Source organism: Homo sapiens, chromosome 12 (genome assembly GCF_000001405.40).
Source record: "Homo sapiens chromosome 12, GRCh38.p14 Primary Assembly".
NCBI lineage: Eukaryota > Metazoa > Chordata > Mammalia > Primates > Hominidae > Homo > Homo sapiens.
In genome coordinates, this window is record NC_000012.12 from 52688897 (window position 1) to 52705829 (window position 16933).

At 49.8% G+C, this 16933-nt stretch overlaps 1 protein-coding gene across 3 annotated transcripts, besides 1 other annotated feature; it reads right to left on the bottom strand.

The window, feature by feature from the left end:
• Positions 730–14628, bottom strand: KRT77 (keratin 77). 3 transcript variants are annotated; one of them, NM_175078.3, is made up of 9 exons: positions 13996–14628; positions 8786–9000; positions 7474–7534; positions 6876–6971; positions 5730–5894; positions 3859–3984; positions 3525–3745; positions 3042–3076; positions 730–2543 (listed from the first exon to the last, which is right to left on the bottom strand). In NM_175078.3, exons 1-9 carry the CDS (start codon positions 14536–14538, stop codon positions 2269–2271), a joined length of 1737 nt encoding a protein of 578 aa, NP_778253.2. In that variant the 5' UTR covers positions 14539–14628; the 3' UTR covers positions 730–2268. The 3 variants fall into 3 exon arrangements, with proteins under 3 accessions (NP_778253.2, XP_011536590.1, XP_011536591.1); XM_011538288.3 differs by lacking the exon at positions 13996–14628 and adding an exon at positions 9280–9608; XM_011538289.3 differs by lacking the exons at positions 730–2543; positions 3042–3076; positions 3525–3745; positions 3859–3984 and having other exon boundaries at positions 5843–6020.
• Positions 12701–12870: an enhancer, noted in NCBI's record as "experimental_29208 CRE fragment used in MPRA reporter constructs". NCBI's record gives its function as "activates a minimal promoter by MPRAs in K562 erythroleukemia cells, with activity observed for the introgressed 12:53095466 variant allele {active_cell/tissue: K562}" and the evidence as "EXISTENCE:reporter gene assay evidence [ECO:0000049][PMID:34662402]".

Consider the following 16933-nt stretch of genomic DNA (forward strand, 5'->3'; position numbering starts at 1 on the left):
CACTCAGATTTCTCTTCTCTCTGAATCGTCCCTCCCCCATAATATGTCATTTAGTTGTGAGCAACTTAAGAGTCAGAAACATGTTCATTCAACATTGCATTCCCAGTGCCTAAGCCACTGCCTGCCACACAGTAGGAGCTTAATAAGTGCTCATTGAACAAATGTATAATTGACTTTTGGATGATCAGCCACTTTAAGGATTAATAAGATTATGTCTGTAAGATTCTTCAAGACTGTGTATTACTTGTACAATAAAAAATAAGAAGAAATTTTAACTTCCCAAATATAAATAATTTCAGAGGTCTGCAGAAATTTTTAAAGAAATAGCCCAGGTACCACGCCTCACACCTGTAATCCCAGCAATGTGGGAAGCCAAGGTGGGAGGATCACCTGAGCCCAGGAGTTCAAGACCAGCCTTGGAAACATGGTGAGACCCCATCTTTATTTAGAAGAAAGAAGAAAAAGAGGAGAAGATGAAGATGAAGATGGAAGAATGAGAAGGAGAAGGAGAAGAAGAAGAAGGAGGAGGAGAGGAGGAGGAGGAAGAGGAGGAGGAGGGAAGAAGAAGAAGAGGAGGAGGAGGGAGGAGGAGGAGGGAGTAGGGGGAGGAGGAGGGAGGAGGAGGAGGAAGAGGAGGAAGGAGAAGAAGAGGAGGGAGAAGAGGAGGAAGGCAAAGGAGAAGAAGGAGAAGAAGAAGAAGAAATAATGCATCTCCTGACCAAACAGCAATTTGAGATCACAGAAAAATTTATTATAGAAATACCAGAAATGCTGCCCCTTGACAGTACAACTTTGAACCAGGAAATGATGAAGTCACAAGAACAGCCTAAGAGACCCACACTGAGCCCATCCAATGCCCCAAGAGAATCATGGACTTGGAAGTTGTGTTAGGACTCAGCTAGCAAGTGAAGGTGACTCCAGATCATAGAAGCAAAGCTACATTCCCTCTCTCAAGGCCTGATACTTTCCTCTTCCTGCCCTCTCCAGCACATCTCAAGCCTCTTACATAAGATTCAAAATTAAGAGTCATATTCTCACAAAGGGCTCACAGCTACAGAGAACAGAAGGCAGGAGGGACTAGAGAGGTCTGGGAAAGGGCATTAAAATGCCTTGCAAAAAAATGGGCAGCTTCCTGACTGACTTGGGGTTGGAACCCTTCCAAGACCCAAGTCAGATCCTCAGACTCCTCAGGCCCGAGGCACCTGGATGGAACAGAGCTGGGCTTCACATGCCCACCCAATGGGGCAATTCTCAGAGTGGTTATGATGCAGAGCTTAGGAAGGGTCAGGCTTCAAAAGAATGGAGCTGTCAGGAGGAAACAGGACAGAAGCAGAACTTGCTTGTCTGTTCATCAACTCCTGCATCCACTGCTAAAACAGGCTTCCTTTGGGTAAGGATTCATGACCCTATGCCCTCTGAAATACTTCCACCTTGAGTTGTTTACACAGGGGAGAATGCTTCCTGAAACAGAGGTTCAGAATCAGGACAGTGATGCCTTACAGATATCTGGTGTGGGCAGCAAATCTATACTATCCATCAACATGAGTGTATGAGGCTATGGACCAAGAGGCAGGAATAGGCCGCTGGTGCAGAGGTTTTCCTTACCAAGCTAGCTTGCCCTGCAATCAGCAACTTCCCCCAAAGGGATCATTATGTGGTCCCCAGCAGGGCAGGGGGGCGTGGATTCTTGTTCACAGAGCAGCCCAGGTACAGCAAAGGGAGCTTGGGGTTGAGATACCAACTCTCCATTATGCGCCTTGTCGATGCTCTCTACAGGCTGTTTCTGTTTCCCTCCATTGCTAAACTAGATGCCTGGTATCTTTTAGCACTGGGGATTAATACTTAGCTGCAGTGGCTTGAACTGGGGCATAAGGGCATTCTACTTGGAGGCAGAGGAATGATAACAATGACTTCTCCCTACCTTGCCAACTCACGCAGCCTCTGCCTCTAACTGGAATGTTTGTGCTCACCCTGGGCTACCGATCTTCCAAAAAGGTGGGAGCAGGAACAGCAGCAGGGCCAGCAGAGCGGGGTCTGAGTGAGAATGTGCCTAGCTGTGAATCTGACTGCAAGCCAGTGCCCTCCAAAGAGAGATCTGCTGTTTGGACTTATCCACCCTGCTTCCCCCATTAGAGTCGAATTTATTGGCAAAATTGCTGAGACCCATTAAGAAAAGTGAATGAGAGGGGATCAGGAAGGGCGTGGAGGGGAGGAGTTTGAGGAGAGGGCGGTGAGGGGCAGGCGTGATGTGTGGCAGAAACGAGGCCTCTACTCCAAGATCCGCCTGTGGGAGGTGTTGGTGGAGGTCTGGATGATCTGCACGCGCGAGGATCCGCGGCCGCTTCTGCCGCTCCCTCCGTAGCTCCCGCCACCGCCGCCGCAGCCGCTGCCATAACCGCCTCCACTCCTGCCTCGTGCCCCGCCTCCGCGGTAGCTTCTTCCGCCGCCATAGCCCCCACCGCTGCCGCCGCCGTAGCCTCCTGAGCCGTAGCTGCCGCCGCCTCCCGCGCCGCCGTTGACGCTCACCTGGCTGTTCTGCACGGCTGTGGGTAGGGGACAGTGCACACGGGGTCAGAGGGACCGGGCAAGGCCCCCACCTGCACCCGCCCCTGCACCTGCAGCCTCCTCCATCCTCGATCACCCGTGGCATCGACTTGCAAACCCCATACATTGAAAATTGAAAGTGTTCCTACTTGAAAAGTATTCTTCATACTACAAAGGGATGCCAGGGTTCCTCTCAGCAACACACTTACATTGTTTATTGAATATGTACCCTAAAGAGTTCTAGCCGCTGCTGATTCCTCCTAGGCATCATTTAATAAAAAGGCATCATAACAATTAAGATAAGCAGACCTGAAATCATAACCATTTATTTCAAATGAATTCTTCCAGGCTTTGCCATTACACTTGCTTACTTTGGTGTCTATTGCACAGGACTGGAAGCTAAAATGCCAGACTTTCCGTTCTCTGCTGGCCACCTCCTGGCCCTCCCTCCACCCAGCACCACCAGCCTCTCTCTGCCCCTGGGCTCTGCTACTTACAGATGCTCACATGGCTCTGCAGCTCTCCTGACATCCTGTAAAACCAAAGCACACGGTCAGCCAGACCCACAGGGCCTGAGGAGAGAAGGCTGTGGCCCACAGACATCTGGATCAGAGGTGTCCCCAAGCCTTAGGGAAATGTGTGTGCATGAGCAGAGGTCAGGAAGCCAGTGGGGCAGAGAGAAATTTCAGGGTTTTCATGAAGCCTTTTAGCATTGGGGGTGAATACCCAGCTGCAGAGGCTTGGATTGGGGTATAAGGACATTCTACTTGGAGGTGGAGGAATGATAACAATGACTTCTCCCTATGTGAAGAGGCTTGTCCATTCACACAGCCTCTGCCTCTAATTGGAATGTTTCTGCTCACCCTGGGCTACCAATCTTCCCAAAAAGGTGGGGCTTATCTTTTCTCCAAATAGCCAGTCCCACAGCTTCATGGGTGCATCTCAAGCCTTAGCCCCAGAAACACAGCTGCCAGACCCACCTGCTCTCCTCGCCCTCCAGCAGCTGGCGGTAGGTGGCGATCTCCACATCCAGGGACAGCTTGACCCCCAGCATGGCCTGGTAGTCACGCAGCAGCCGGGCCAGCTCCTCCTTGGACTGCTGCAGGGCCTCCTCCAGGTCCTGCAGCTTCTGCCACGCATCCTGGAGGGCCTGCTCGCCTCTCTCCTCAGCATCCGAAATGAGTGACTGCATCTGTTCAATCTGCTCCAGAGACAGTTGGAGACCATTTAATGGTTAAGTTTCCAGAGCTCGATCTGGCAGGGCATTGTAGGAGGTGCAGGGCTTGGTCAGCCCTCCCTAAGCACCCGTCCCACCTGCTTCTTCACGTTGCTGATCTCTGCCTGCAGCCTCTGGACGGTGCGGTTGAGCTCTGCAATCTCCATCTTGCTGTTCTTCAGGTCGTCTCCATGTCTCCCTGCCGTGATCTGGAGCTCCTGGTACTGGGGCCAAAGGCAGCATCATAGTCAGCATGTGCTGCCCACCACAAGCCCCTCCAGGAGGGAGTAGGTCTGGGCTGCTCTCCCCTGGGAGATTCCCACCCACCTTGCACTGTGGTCACCCCTACATGCATACTCACAGCTATACCAAACCTCCCTCACCCAGGCTGCAAACACATGTATACATGCACACACTCACACTATCCCAAGCCTCCCGCATTCCCACCAGTCTCTGGGCAGACTCTCATCCCAGCCAGACAAACCTGCTTTGTGATGCCCTTTCTACCACCTTTTCACACATCTAAGCCTTCACGTTGGTCCTTACCCACACTGAGACCCCCTCACTCTTTCCACCCACCATATAGCTTCCCACCCTTTTCCAGGATGATCTCCCTAGCAGTCAAGCAGGACCTCATGTCCTCAGAGGCCCTCCATTGGCTCCACGTTCAGTCTCATTTCCCCTCCATCTCTGTTTCTGTCTCTGTATTGCCCCATTAGTCAGAACTCCACCCCCAGGACAGGGCTCTGAAGTGGGTAGGAGAAGCATCGACTCAAGGGAATCTGCACTCTGCTATTTTTCACTGTTGGCCATCTGCTTCCTAGTCTAATGTCGAAATCCATTCCACCCCAGAACACTGTGCAGGACCGTGGGACAGAGGTCAGCCAGGATTGGAGTTGGCCACAGATCATCCTCAAAGCCAGTCATCAATGCTAGTTGTTCAGAATTTAGTGACTGGACTGTCAGCCACGCCCTTTCAACCAGAGGCTTCACCATCCAAAAAGATCCAGGTCAGTTTATGGAAAAGAAGTAACCAAAGATGTGCCCAACAACTTAGCCACAAAGGAGTTGATCTAATAAGGGAGGGTGTAGTCTAACAATATAATACCAGGCTGTTAAAAATGCGGCAGGTTATTTAGTGTCACAGAAAAGTATCCATATGTGTTAAGTAAAAGAGAAAGTATAGCCTGGCCAACATGGCAAAACCCTGCCACTACTAAAAATACAAAAATTAGCTTGGTGTAGTGGCGCGTGCCTGTAATCCCAGCTACTCAGGAGGCTGAGGCAGGAGAATCACTTGGACCCAGGAGGCGGAGTTTGTAGTGAACTGATATCAGGCCACTGCACTCCAGCCTGGGAGATAGAGTGAGTTTCCATCTCAAAAAAAAAAAAAAGTAAAAAAAATATATTTTAATAGATACCATTATGAAAAAAGAATAAAAATCATTCTAGTGGTGAGGGGAATGGGTTTGTAGACACAAACCCAATTTTAATTAAGCTCTGGCTCTGCCATTTACTAGCTACAAGGCATTAGGGAAATTAAGTAATCTCACACACTACTATCTATTATAAAATGGTGATAACGAAATTCTTACCTCATTGGTTGTTGTAAGGACTGAATGAAATAATAATAAATAAGTAAAGCACTTTGTGCAGTGCCTAACACATATGAGTTCTCAATAAACATTATTGGGTTTTTGCAAAAGTAATTGCAGTTCTCGTCATTACTTTTAATGGCGAGAACCGCAATCACTTTTCCACTAGCCTAATAGCGACAAAGAACTGGTAGAAGAGATATTAACATATTAATAGCGGTAGTGAGAGATGGGTAATCTTTACATGTAATTTCTAGAATTTGTATAACAAACACATTTTACTTCAGAAATAAGAGAAAGACAATGCAATAAGAGAAAGACAATTCTGGGAAGAATCTGTTTTTCTGGGCACCAGATCTGGGGGCCACGCCCACCTTGGTCTGGTACAGGGCTTCGGCCTCGTCCTTGCTCCTCTGTGCAATCAGTTCATACTGGGTCCGCACTGCATCGATGATGCTGTCCAGGTCCAGGGAACGGTTATTGTCCATGGACAGGATGACGTTGGTGTCGCTGATGTGAGTCTGCACCTGAGACAGCTCCTGCGAGGCATGGCGCACAGGCTGACTCCTTCCATTCTCCTCTGGGGGCCTCAGTTTTCCTCTGCTGCTCCCTCAAGGCTCTCGGGGGAAGCCAGAAGCCTGGGCCAGGTAGTCTTGGGAAAAGCTCTTGGAATTGTTGTGTGCAATGAGAGATAATAGGGAGAGTCTTAACTGCCTCCAGGGAGAAGGAAGGAGCCTAAACCTGGAGCGTTCAGATACCATCTCCCCATCACACTTCTCCTGCAGCTGCCACTCTGCCTTGCTCTGACTTGGCCACCATAGTGAGCTGGGCTCCTTGGCAGGCATGCCTCTTCCTTGAAACCACATGAGTACTCCGAGGCAGTAGAATGGACTCTAGTTAAGGAGTCACTTGGACTCACTTTTGAGTCTTGGCTGTACCATTGACTAGCTAGGTAATGAAGCAAGTAATTTAACCCCTCAGTGCCTCAGTTTTCCCATCTGTAGAATGGAGATACCCATAACATAAACTTCTAACACAGCATCTGGCCCAGAGCACGTACCCCCAAGTTAGACACAGGCAAAAGAGGGCCGGGTGGTGGAGTGTTTGATCCCCCATCACTAAGGTCAGGTTCCACTCCCTTTGAGACTCACACTGTCACCTCCCACAGAGTTTCCTAACAGCTCCATCAACTCCCCAGAATTAATGAAGATTTCTGGTTGGTTTTGCCCCTTATATGTCTGGGTGATTTCCCAGACAGATTGGAAGCCATGAACCAGGGACACATTCGCCTCCACCTAACTCAGGATTCTCCCAGCCTTCCATCTTCATTACCCCGACCTGGGGATTCTGAGGATTGGGGTGGAGAGGATGGCTGACTCCAGGCCCACAGAGTTGGGGTACCTGGGGAGATGAGTCCCTAGTGGGACCCTAGTGTTGGGTTTCAGGCCTCCCCTCTTACAGCCCATACTCCTTGTGAGATGTGAGAAAAGAAAGGAGGTTCTTATAAAGGCTTAACTCACCGTCAAAAATAAATATTTCAAGAAATTGACCTCCCCAGTCAGAGTGTCCACCCTGGACTCCAGGTCCACTTTGCTCACATAAGCAGCATCCACATCCTGAATAGCAGGCAGAAACAGTTTGACTTTATTGCCCAGGCATTGCCTGCCACCAGCTCACTGGCTGGCTCAGGCGAGTGGCAGAGCCACTCTAGGTTTATTTCCTTACTTAAAAAATTCATCACCGCACTCGAATAAGGGACCCACAAGTCCTGGCTTTCCTGGCCAGAAGGAGATGTGACACCAACCTCCACATCCCAGTCAGTCACAACCAACACCCCAGGTCCTTCCTTAGGTCCCAAGGCTACAGGTAACTGACACTCAAAAGCTGTCATTTCACTTCATTTCACTTTCAGGACCCCAGAGAGATACGAACTCAAGGCTTCCTGAAGAGTCATTATCAGTGTCAGTTCCAATGTAAGGGCCCCGCATTCAGGCATCATACACAGCAAGCCGGCCGTAGAGGCCACCCTGCCGTTGTCACAGAGCATCCCATAGGGATTCCTCACTCCCCTCAGCCTCCTGGGTCCACAGCCACCCTCAGGACTCCCCTTTCCCTCACCTTCTTCAGGACGACAAAGTCATTCTCGCTGCCAGTCCTCTTGTTGATTTCATCCTCATACCTGTCAGGCGAGGCAAAGGAGCACAGAAAGGCTGCAGGCTGACCTTGGCTCCCTGAGGTCCCTCCTTACAGCAGAAAGCTTGGAATTCCCCAAACATTTGCTGTCCTGGGTTCAGAGAACCCTGCTCAAGGTGCTGGCTGTCCATTCCCAGAGGCTGGCACTCTCATGGATGAGGGCAGAGCCAACTCCTAGGTCTGTGGGCCAACAGAGGGGACCCCGGGCCAACATGGAAAACCCAGAGCCACAGAGAAGGTCCCTGGAATGTCTATTTTTATTTTGATGTTTTACCTTTGTAAATGTGTCAAACTCATTCATTCCTTAAAACTGAGAACATGAAATAACAACCACTTTTACTAAATATTTTTGAAGAGAAAAAATTTAATCTACATTTCTGTACCCCACCCCCCACCAGCACCTCCAGTGTGGATTTCACTTTTCCCTCGTTGATTCACACACACTTGGATCTCTACTGGCACGACACAGTAAGCATGCCAAGGTGATGGGAGAGAAGCACCCTGCACCCCACATGGGGAAGAAGAGGGAGGGAGAGGCTCTGCTGCCTGCACGGCTCAGGAGCAGCTGATCTGGAATTCGACAACTCCCGTCACCCCTACTGTTTATAGTCATAATAACAAGGGTTTATTGACTGCTAGGGGTGTACAGCCACAATACTAAGAACTTATTAAGCATCATTTCATTCAAACCAGCAGTTCTCAAAGTGTGGTCCCCAATCCACAAGCATCAGCATCACTTGGAAACATGTTAGAAGTACAAACACTCTTGCTGCATCCCATATCTGCTGAATCAAAAACTCAGGGGGCAGAGCCCAGCAATCTGATTCCAGCAAACAGATGCATGCTCAAGTCTGAGAACCACAGATCTACCCACAACAATCCAACAAGGAAGGTTCTTGCTATTCCCACATTACTAATGTGAACACTAGAAACTTAAAAAGATGAATTTGTAAGCAGCTAGTAAGTGGCAGAGGCCACACTGGAAATCAGGCTTACTTGGTTTCAACATCCATGAAGCTATCCTGCCCCTCCCCACCCAATGCAATTGACAGCTGGCTGCCAATATCATTCTACCCGGGTTGCCACATACAAAACAGTGCCTCCTGCAGTTGTGCAGTGCAGAGCCTGCATGCCCCGCCCCCCACCCTTACACACAAACACTGAAGCCGAATGTCTTGCCCCTGTGACCAGTTTCCGGCCATGCTTCTCCCCTGTTTTGCCCTGCCTGGAGTCTCACTTGCTCTTGTAGTCCTCCACGACATCCTGCATGCTCCTGACCTCCGCGTTCTGGCGCATCTGCTCCGCACTGAGCAAATCCACCTGCCTCCGCAGGTCACCGATGTAGTTCTCCAAGAGGGGCTCCAGGTTGTTGGTTCCAGTTGAGGTGTTCACCTGCTGCAGCAACTCCCATTTTGTTTGTAGCACCTGGTTCTGCTGCTCCAGGAATCGCACCTAAGAGCAAGAGACCCCAGTCCACCCCAGGCCATGGATCAGAGCAGCTCCCCCATAAGTAGGAGCATCCATACCCCCTCAACACATCCAGACCTCAGAGAATCAGGATGGCTCCTCCAAGGGTCAGAGAGCTTCCTTTTCTCGGGATTGAGACACACAGAGGGCAATGTGGTTTCTGACTGCCAATGGCTGTAAGGTCAACTTGCCTAAAATTGACACTAAGCTCACTCTGGTTTTGAAGGTAAATCACCTCCTTCATTTACATCATAGAGCACTCACCCTCCACACTCAATTTATCCATGCCAACGTAAGGAAATGGTGTTTCGGAGCATCTGAGACACTGATGACCCCAAGGTTCCTTTCTCTTTGTGGTCAAAATGCATTATGTGATAGAGGAGAGGAAGAAAGAAAAAGAGAGAAGGATCAATTTGGCTTAGAACATTAAACTAATTCCTGAGCACACTTGCTTGGGTGCCCCTGCCCTGCAGCCACCACCACCTCTGCTGTCTGCCGGGATGTTTGTCAGGAAAGTAACTCATTTAAATGCTTTTATAATGCAGACAGAATTTTTAAGGCAAATGTCCTCATTTTTTAAAAGTCTAATGCATTCAAGTGCCCCAAAGTGAGGACTTTGGGTTGTCAGGTGTTTGAGAACTACCCACTTGCTATTTCCCGGGAAATGGAGAGTGGACATCACCCAATATTTTCACCACCTCTTCTCCCAAAACTGTGGATATGGAGGTAAGATGCGGGGCCCAGGGAGGCGGCTGGCTGTGCAAAGTGTGCGGCTTGTCCTTGGCATGGTAATGACCAGCCTCCACCTTTCCTCAGCCAGGTAGACACTGTGGAGCCTCTGCTCCAGTGCCCTGATAGCAGCAGTGATGCTGCCTCCAGACTTTGCTCGGCCGCATGCAGGCGCACACGCCCAAAAACACACACCCTCCAGAATCCTGCTTCCTCCTCTGGGCACCATGTAAAGGGGCAAACCCACTGCTTTGTGTGGTCAGAACGGAACCCTGAAGACACTCCCCTACCACGTGACACTAGTGAGGGTCCTCCAAATCCCCCGGCCCTTGAGACTCCGCCCCTCTGAGGGGCCAACCCTGGTTAGCTCCCTTTGGATTCTGACTCTAGGCTGGAAAATGTTTGCAGACAACACAACCTCCCATGGCTCATTTTTGCTCACCTTATCAAAGCAAGAGATTAGGCAAGCAGCTCTCCCAGGCTTGTCAGCACAGCTCACAACACCGTGAGAAATTCCTGCCACTCTCTATTTTTACTCTGTGGTGGCACTCCCAGGGAGTGAAGAAATCAATTCAGGACTCATTCACTGCACTCAGTGGCAGTGGCATTGTGGGGACCAAAAGAAAGAATCCTGTGGTCCCATGGAGAGTCTCCACATAAAACAATGAGGGAGCAGTGACACAACTCTGGGTGCTCTGGCTTTAGCCCAGGTACCCATCCGCAATATCCAGGAGCTCATAGAAGACACTGTGGTTCTCATCAGGCCACCCAAACTGCAAAGGCAGAGTCTGGATGCAGGGAGTGCCTTAACCACTAGAACAATCAGTAAAAGCCACTGTGTTTTTCCCCAGGTTCCCCAAAACACTCCTGGTCTGTGTCCCACCAGCAAAACTCAAGGGCAGCTCAGCTAGCACCGATGGAATGAGGCATGCTGCTGAGCAACCTTCTCGCCCACCCTCTGCTTCAGTGCTCCTCCCCTGCACAGGGACCTCCCAGTGCCCTCAGCACCCCAGGTCTCCTCAACTCTTTGCCCAGCAAACTCCTGCTCATCCTTTAGACCTCAGCTGAGGTGGCATCCCACCAGTGTGTCCCCTTTGCAGCCCCTTGTTCCTTGCCTTTCTAGATCTGTTGAGACTTGCAGTCATGTGACAGTGTGTGAGCATCTCTCTCCCGGGCTGCACTGGACCCCATGAGGGCAGGCCTATGTCTACTTTGTTCTCCAGGGGACACAGTGGACCCATGGACACACAATGCCCAACACGGAGAAGACAAAAAGTGTCATGCACTCATGAAGTGCAAAAGGTTTTAGAACTGCCTGCTGGTGTGGGCTATCCAGGCCACTCACCACTCTTAGCATAGAGGTCCAAGGGTCAGCTGATCAAGGCCAGGCCAGTGTCCCAGGGGTAAGAGCTGAAACCCTCCTTTCCTTTCTGAGGCCCTGTCCCCTTGTCATTGGTTCTAGAAAGCCTTTGGCTCCATTTCCACTCTCTGAGCGTCCAGCACTGACCCCTGAGGGGCTGACCCAATTTGTCATCCGGTTTCTATTTATTGAGCAATTCTCATATGTCAGGCACTATTCTGGGTGCTAGGGATTTGGTAATAAAAAAAACAGGCAAAATCCCTGCTTTCCAGGAGTTTGCATTCTATTTAGAGAGATTACTATAAAGAAATAATCATGTAAAAAATACAGTGCCTCAGATGGCTGCAGGGACTATGGAGTCACACAGGGCCGGGGCATAGGAACACTGAAGTGGTGGTCAGGGAAGGCCCCACTGAAACTGTGGCATCTGAGCAAAGACCCACAGAAGGTGAGGGAGGAAGGTGGGCCTCTCTCTCGGGGGAAGAGTTCCATGCAGAGGGAATGGTAGGTGCAAAGACCTTGAGACAGAACTGAGCCTTGGATGCTGGTGAGCAAGAAGAGAGCAGGAGAGGAGGCAGAGGGGCACAGGAGGCTGCAGACAACAATGAGTTGGAAGCCTGGGGGCTGTTTTCCAGGCCTCACTCTGCTTACTAGCCATTGTATCCCGAAAGCTGTTCCACCCAGTGAGGGCAACGTGGCCTGATTCCACAAATGCAAGTGTGGGCTTAGCAGCAGCTGCGGGTTGAAGGGCAAGTAATATAGGGCCTTGTAGGACTTGGGCTTTTCTTTCAGTCGAGACAAGAAGCCACTGGAGGATTCAAATGGAGGAGTGTCGTGACATGCTTTTAAAGGATGGCTCTGCTGTGGTGTCAAGTATAGGCTATACAGGGTCAAGGGTGAAAGCAGGAAGACCAGTTTGGAAAGCAGAGTCAGAAGTCACCTGTCATAGAAGCCTTCTTCCTTCCAGCCAGGCCACAGCCCACCTGGCTGAGAAGCCTCTCCTCATAGTCATCATAGGCCATGCCCTTCGAAGGACAGGAGGCCCAGGTCTCTTGCACCCTAGCCTCTGCCCACTGCCCTATGCCATGCAACTGGACAGACCCTGTTCATGGCAGGGGCCATAATCAGATGAGCCTCAGGAGGTCAGTTGCCAGCGGCCTGTGGTCATTTCCCAGCCCTTTCTCCTCCCTGCTCCTCTCTTGGCCCAGCCGTGACCTCCGAGTAGTGACTCCTTGCTCCAGTGAAACCCTCTAACCCCTGCCTTTGCCTGAAGCGTGGTGATACTCAGCCAAATTTCCCACGCAGCATGATCGGAAGCCACGGGAGCACGCTGCTGTGTTGCGCTCCTCTTCGGCAGCCTCTGGGCCTCAGCACTCTCACCCTCCTCCGCCCGCTCACACACTGTCCCATCCCCAGCATCTGCTCAGATATCAGAGGCCTGCCCTGCCACCCAGTATGGCCTCTAGCCACAGCTACCCTGCAGTCAGGCCACAGGTCAAGCTCTGGCCTCAGCACTGAACTCCCGTGGGGACTGAGGGAAAGTCACTGAGTGTGCAAGCGGCCTTGGTGCTCTGTGGGGCTTCCCACTGCATCCCTGAAGGCAAAGTTCCTCCTGGGGAGGTGCTAGTGGCCGCTGTGCCTCGACCTCCAGACAAAAGGAGATGCTGGAGGGAGGTCTTCACCATGGCGAGTTCTCCAGCCTCTGCTGCTGCTTTGGACCTAATCTGAAGTTTCAACAGGGAACTAGGGACAGGGGCTTCTGTGTCTCCATCTGGCCCATCCTTGGCCCTTGATGAGCCAAAAGGGGAAACTCAGACAGAACCCTACATTGCATGCTATTGACTTTAGCCCCAAGAGATACCCACCACCAGGGCATTCACCATGCCCTGCCTGCTTCTCCTGCCCTGGCTCTGTGGCTTCATCTCCACTTCTCTCCTCCACCCCTTGGTATCCCATTTTCTCCAGGAATTGTAACTGTTTGAAATTCCCTAAACGCGTCACGCTTTCATGCCTCCTGGTCCTTCTGCCTGAAAATCCCCTCTGCCCTGAGAACCCATTTAACTCGTGCTCACTTCGGCAGCACATATACTAAAATTAGAACCCATTTAACTTTTCATCCGCCTTCCAGACTCAGCAAGCAGAGCTCATGACACCCTCCTTTGAGCTACCATGGCCCAGAGAGTACTACCCCTATTGACACACTTCACATACACTGTAGTAATTCTCTCCCCTTTAGACGTGGGCTCCTTGATGGCAGGACCTGTGTCCTAGTCACCTGTAGCACCTGGCACGATGTCTGGCCTATCATAGATTCTTAGAAAATATTTGTGGGCTAGATGGGTGGATGGATGCATGAGTGGATAGTTGAATGGATTGATGGATGAGTGAATGAACAGATGAACACGTGTGTGTGTGTGCATGTGTGTGTGTGTGTGTATAAATGGATTGTGTGGATGGGTGGGTGGATGGATGGATGGACGGAAGGGTGGATAGTTGGGTGGATTGATGAATAAGTGAATGGATGGATGTGTGTGTGTGTGTGTGTGTGTGTGTTTGTGTGTGTGTGTATAAATGGATTGTGTGGATGGGGATGGATAGATGGGTGCATGGGTGGATGGGTGGATGGAAAGTGAATAATTATGAATGAGAATGAGGGTACTACACCATGTATCTGTTGAGTATTTTAACACTGCTTATCTCCTTTCCTGCCAAAAGGAAAAGATGGAATTAAATCCCTGCAAGAAGACAAATTGAAGCCCAAATGGGTAAATGATTTTCTAAGGTCCCAGGTCAAGCTGAAACAGCACGATGTGGTGAGAGGTGGTAAGGTGTAATCTCTCTCAGTCATTTGGTCAGTGACCAATGACCCTCCCTGCCCCTGAGGTGCTCACCTTGTCAATGAAGGAGGCAAACTTGTTGTTGAGAACCATAATCTGCTCCCGCTCCTGGGTCTTGATCCTCTGAATTTCAGGGTCCACCTCCAGGTGAAGTGGCTCTAGGAGGCTCTGGTTAATGGTCACCTCTTGGATGCCCCCAGGAGGACAATAAGGACCAAAGCCCCCAAGCCCAAAATTGCTAGTCCCAAATCCAGCACCCCCAAAACCACCTCCTCCAAAGCCACCAGCCCCGGTGCTGCCAACCCCAAAGCCTCTGCCCCCTCCAAATCCCCCTACTCCCCCACCCTGGCAGAAACCACTGGTGCTCCTCCCCATTAGATTAATGGAGATGCTTCTACTGCCACCCAGATTGTAGAGGCTCCTAGAGCCAAACCCCCTTCCATGGATCCCATATCCACCACCACCACACCTCCCTCGAGCATAACACACAGAACCCACTGCCGGACTCCCACCACCAGAGCCTGCAGAAGAGCTGGTACTATAAACCCGCCTGCTCATTGAACTAAACGCGGACTGAGAACTAAATTGGTGGCTCATGTTTGCTGGAGCATCCAGAGAAGCAGGCAAGAGAAAGAGCCTGGCAGGAAGGAGGCAGAGACCAGAGAGGAAAGGAGCTCTGACTCCTTTGAAAAGATCTGGCTCCGGCTCTATATATATACACACACACACACATTACTGGGCTGGGCACCTTTACAATCCTGAAAGGGGAGTATTAATGTTTAGTTTGCCTGCCAGCAACATCTGTTTAAAACCTCACACCTGTGAGTTGCAGAAATCAGATTGCAGACAAACTTCCCCAACTCGATCATTTATCATTCATCTCTTGCCATTTAGAGATCAGAATGCAAGAATCTCTCAGGATCTCATTGCTGGAAACTTCTATACAGATTCTCCCCAAATCATCAGTTCATCTCTTCCTAAGAAACTCCACCATCGAGTTGTTTGTTTCTGGGATGTGCCTGGGAGATCTGGGGCAAAGTTAGATGGTGTTTAGAGACCTCAGGACCATAGCTGGGACAGAGGTGGAAACACTTTCTGTCACAGCATCGTCCTGGTGGGGCAAAAGTTTTGTTCCAATCTCCCCACACACTGCTTCTGCTCCCTGCAGTTATCATCACCATGAGCACCCAAAATTTTATCACATGGAAGTGCAATATTGTGGTCACTGAGTACAAGTGGAGGCCCACAGATTCTGCCCAAGGTCATTCACATTGTGTGCTGCTTGATAAGCCTCAGACTTCTCAAACACAAAACCACACAAGGTACTTCAGCACCAAAAGTCTGTGGTTATAGATTTGTTGAGCATCTACCAGTACCTAATATTGTCTTCTAGACCAGAAGACAAACCATCCCTAACTATCTCTCTTTCTGTTTTATCATTTCCGGTTCTTTATAGACAATACTTTTGTAAAATAGAATTAAAGGAATTACCTCCTAAAGATAATTTTTTAAAAAAGATATACAAAATGCAAGCCCAAATTTTTTTTATTTTTAGATTCAGCAAACAAAACATTGTTTAACTGCTAAAAATAGCAACAATAATAATAATTTTCTAAATGGTTACTCTCAAATTCTGTGCTTACCACAAGGCAATAGCAAAGCACGGTAGACCAGCACTAATCTGTGCTCACCCTCTGAGAAGCACGTCCCAGACAGCATCCTGGGGAAAAGCTCATTCAGTGAGCATCAGTGTCCGCCAACAAAAAAATGTGCGTTTTCCCTCTGGACTCAAATAGCTGTGGCTTTCATCCAAAATGTAATAATAATTTTTTTAACTTGGGGAAAAACTCTCCAGCCTTAGAAAAATGGCTAAGCGATGGCTTGCCCAATTGGATACAATTATTTTAAATCATCTTGTTGGAGACTCTGCAGCAGAACCGGCAACCACTTGTGATACTATGTACCATATTAAAGGGAAAGGGCAGACTACATGATGGAGTCTGCGCTGTGAACTCATAAGAATTAAGAATGCAGAAGGCCGGGTGCAATAGCTCACTCCTGTAATCCCAGCACTGTGGGAGGCCAAGGCAAGCAGATCACTTGAGCCCAGGAGTTCAAAACCAGCCTGGCCAATATGGCGAAACCCCATCTCTACTGAAAATACAAAAAATTAACCAGGTGTGGTAGCACACTCCTGTAGTCCCAGCTCCCACGGGTCAGGGGGGCTGAGGTAGGAGGATCACTTGAGCCTGGGAGGTCAAGGCTGCAGTGAGCCCTTATCGTGCCACTGCACTCCAGCCTGGGCAAGAGAATGAGACCCTCTCTCAAAAAAAAAAAAAAAAATGCAGATAAGACAGACTTTGTGAGTAACTAGAAAGTGAGTTGATTTATTTAGAGACTGTGGGAGGAGTTTTCCTAGGTTCTTTTGTTTGTTTGCTTATTTTTTTGAGACAGAGTCTTGCACTGTTGCCCTGGCTGGAGTGCAGTGGCACAATCTTGGCTCGCTGCAACCTCTGCCTCCTGGGTTCAAGCGATTCTCCTGTCTCAGCCTCCTGAGTAACTGGGATTGCAGGTGCCTACCACCACGCCTGGCTAATTTTTTGTATTTTTAATAAAGACAGGGTTTCACCATATTGGCCAGCCTGGTCTAGAACTCCTGACCTCAGGTGATCCACCTGCCTCAGCCTCCCAAAGTGCTGGGATTACAGGCGTGAGCTACTGTGCCCGGCTGAATTTTCCTGGTGTTTTAAATGTCCTTTTTCTTTATGTTCATTGCAATAAATATTTTTTGCTCACGCCTTTAATCCCAGCACTTTTGGAAGCCAAGGCAGGCGGATCACCTGAGGTTAGGAGTTCGAGACCAGCCTGACCAACATGGAGAATGCCATCTCTACTAAAAATACAAAAAATTAGCCGGGCATGGTGGCACATCTGTAATCCCAGCCACTTGGGAGGCTGAGGCAGTAGAATCACTTGAACCCAAGAGGCAGAG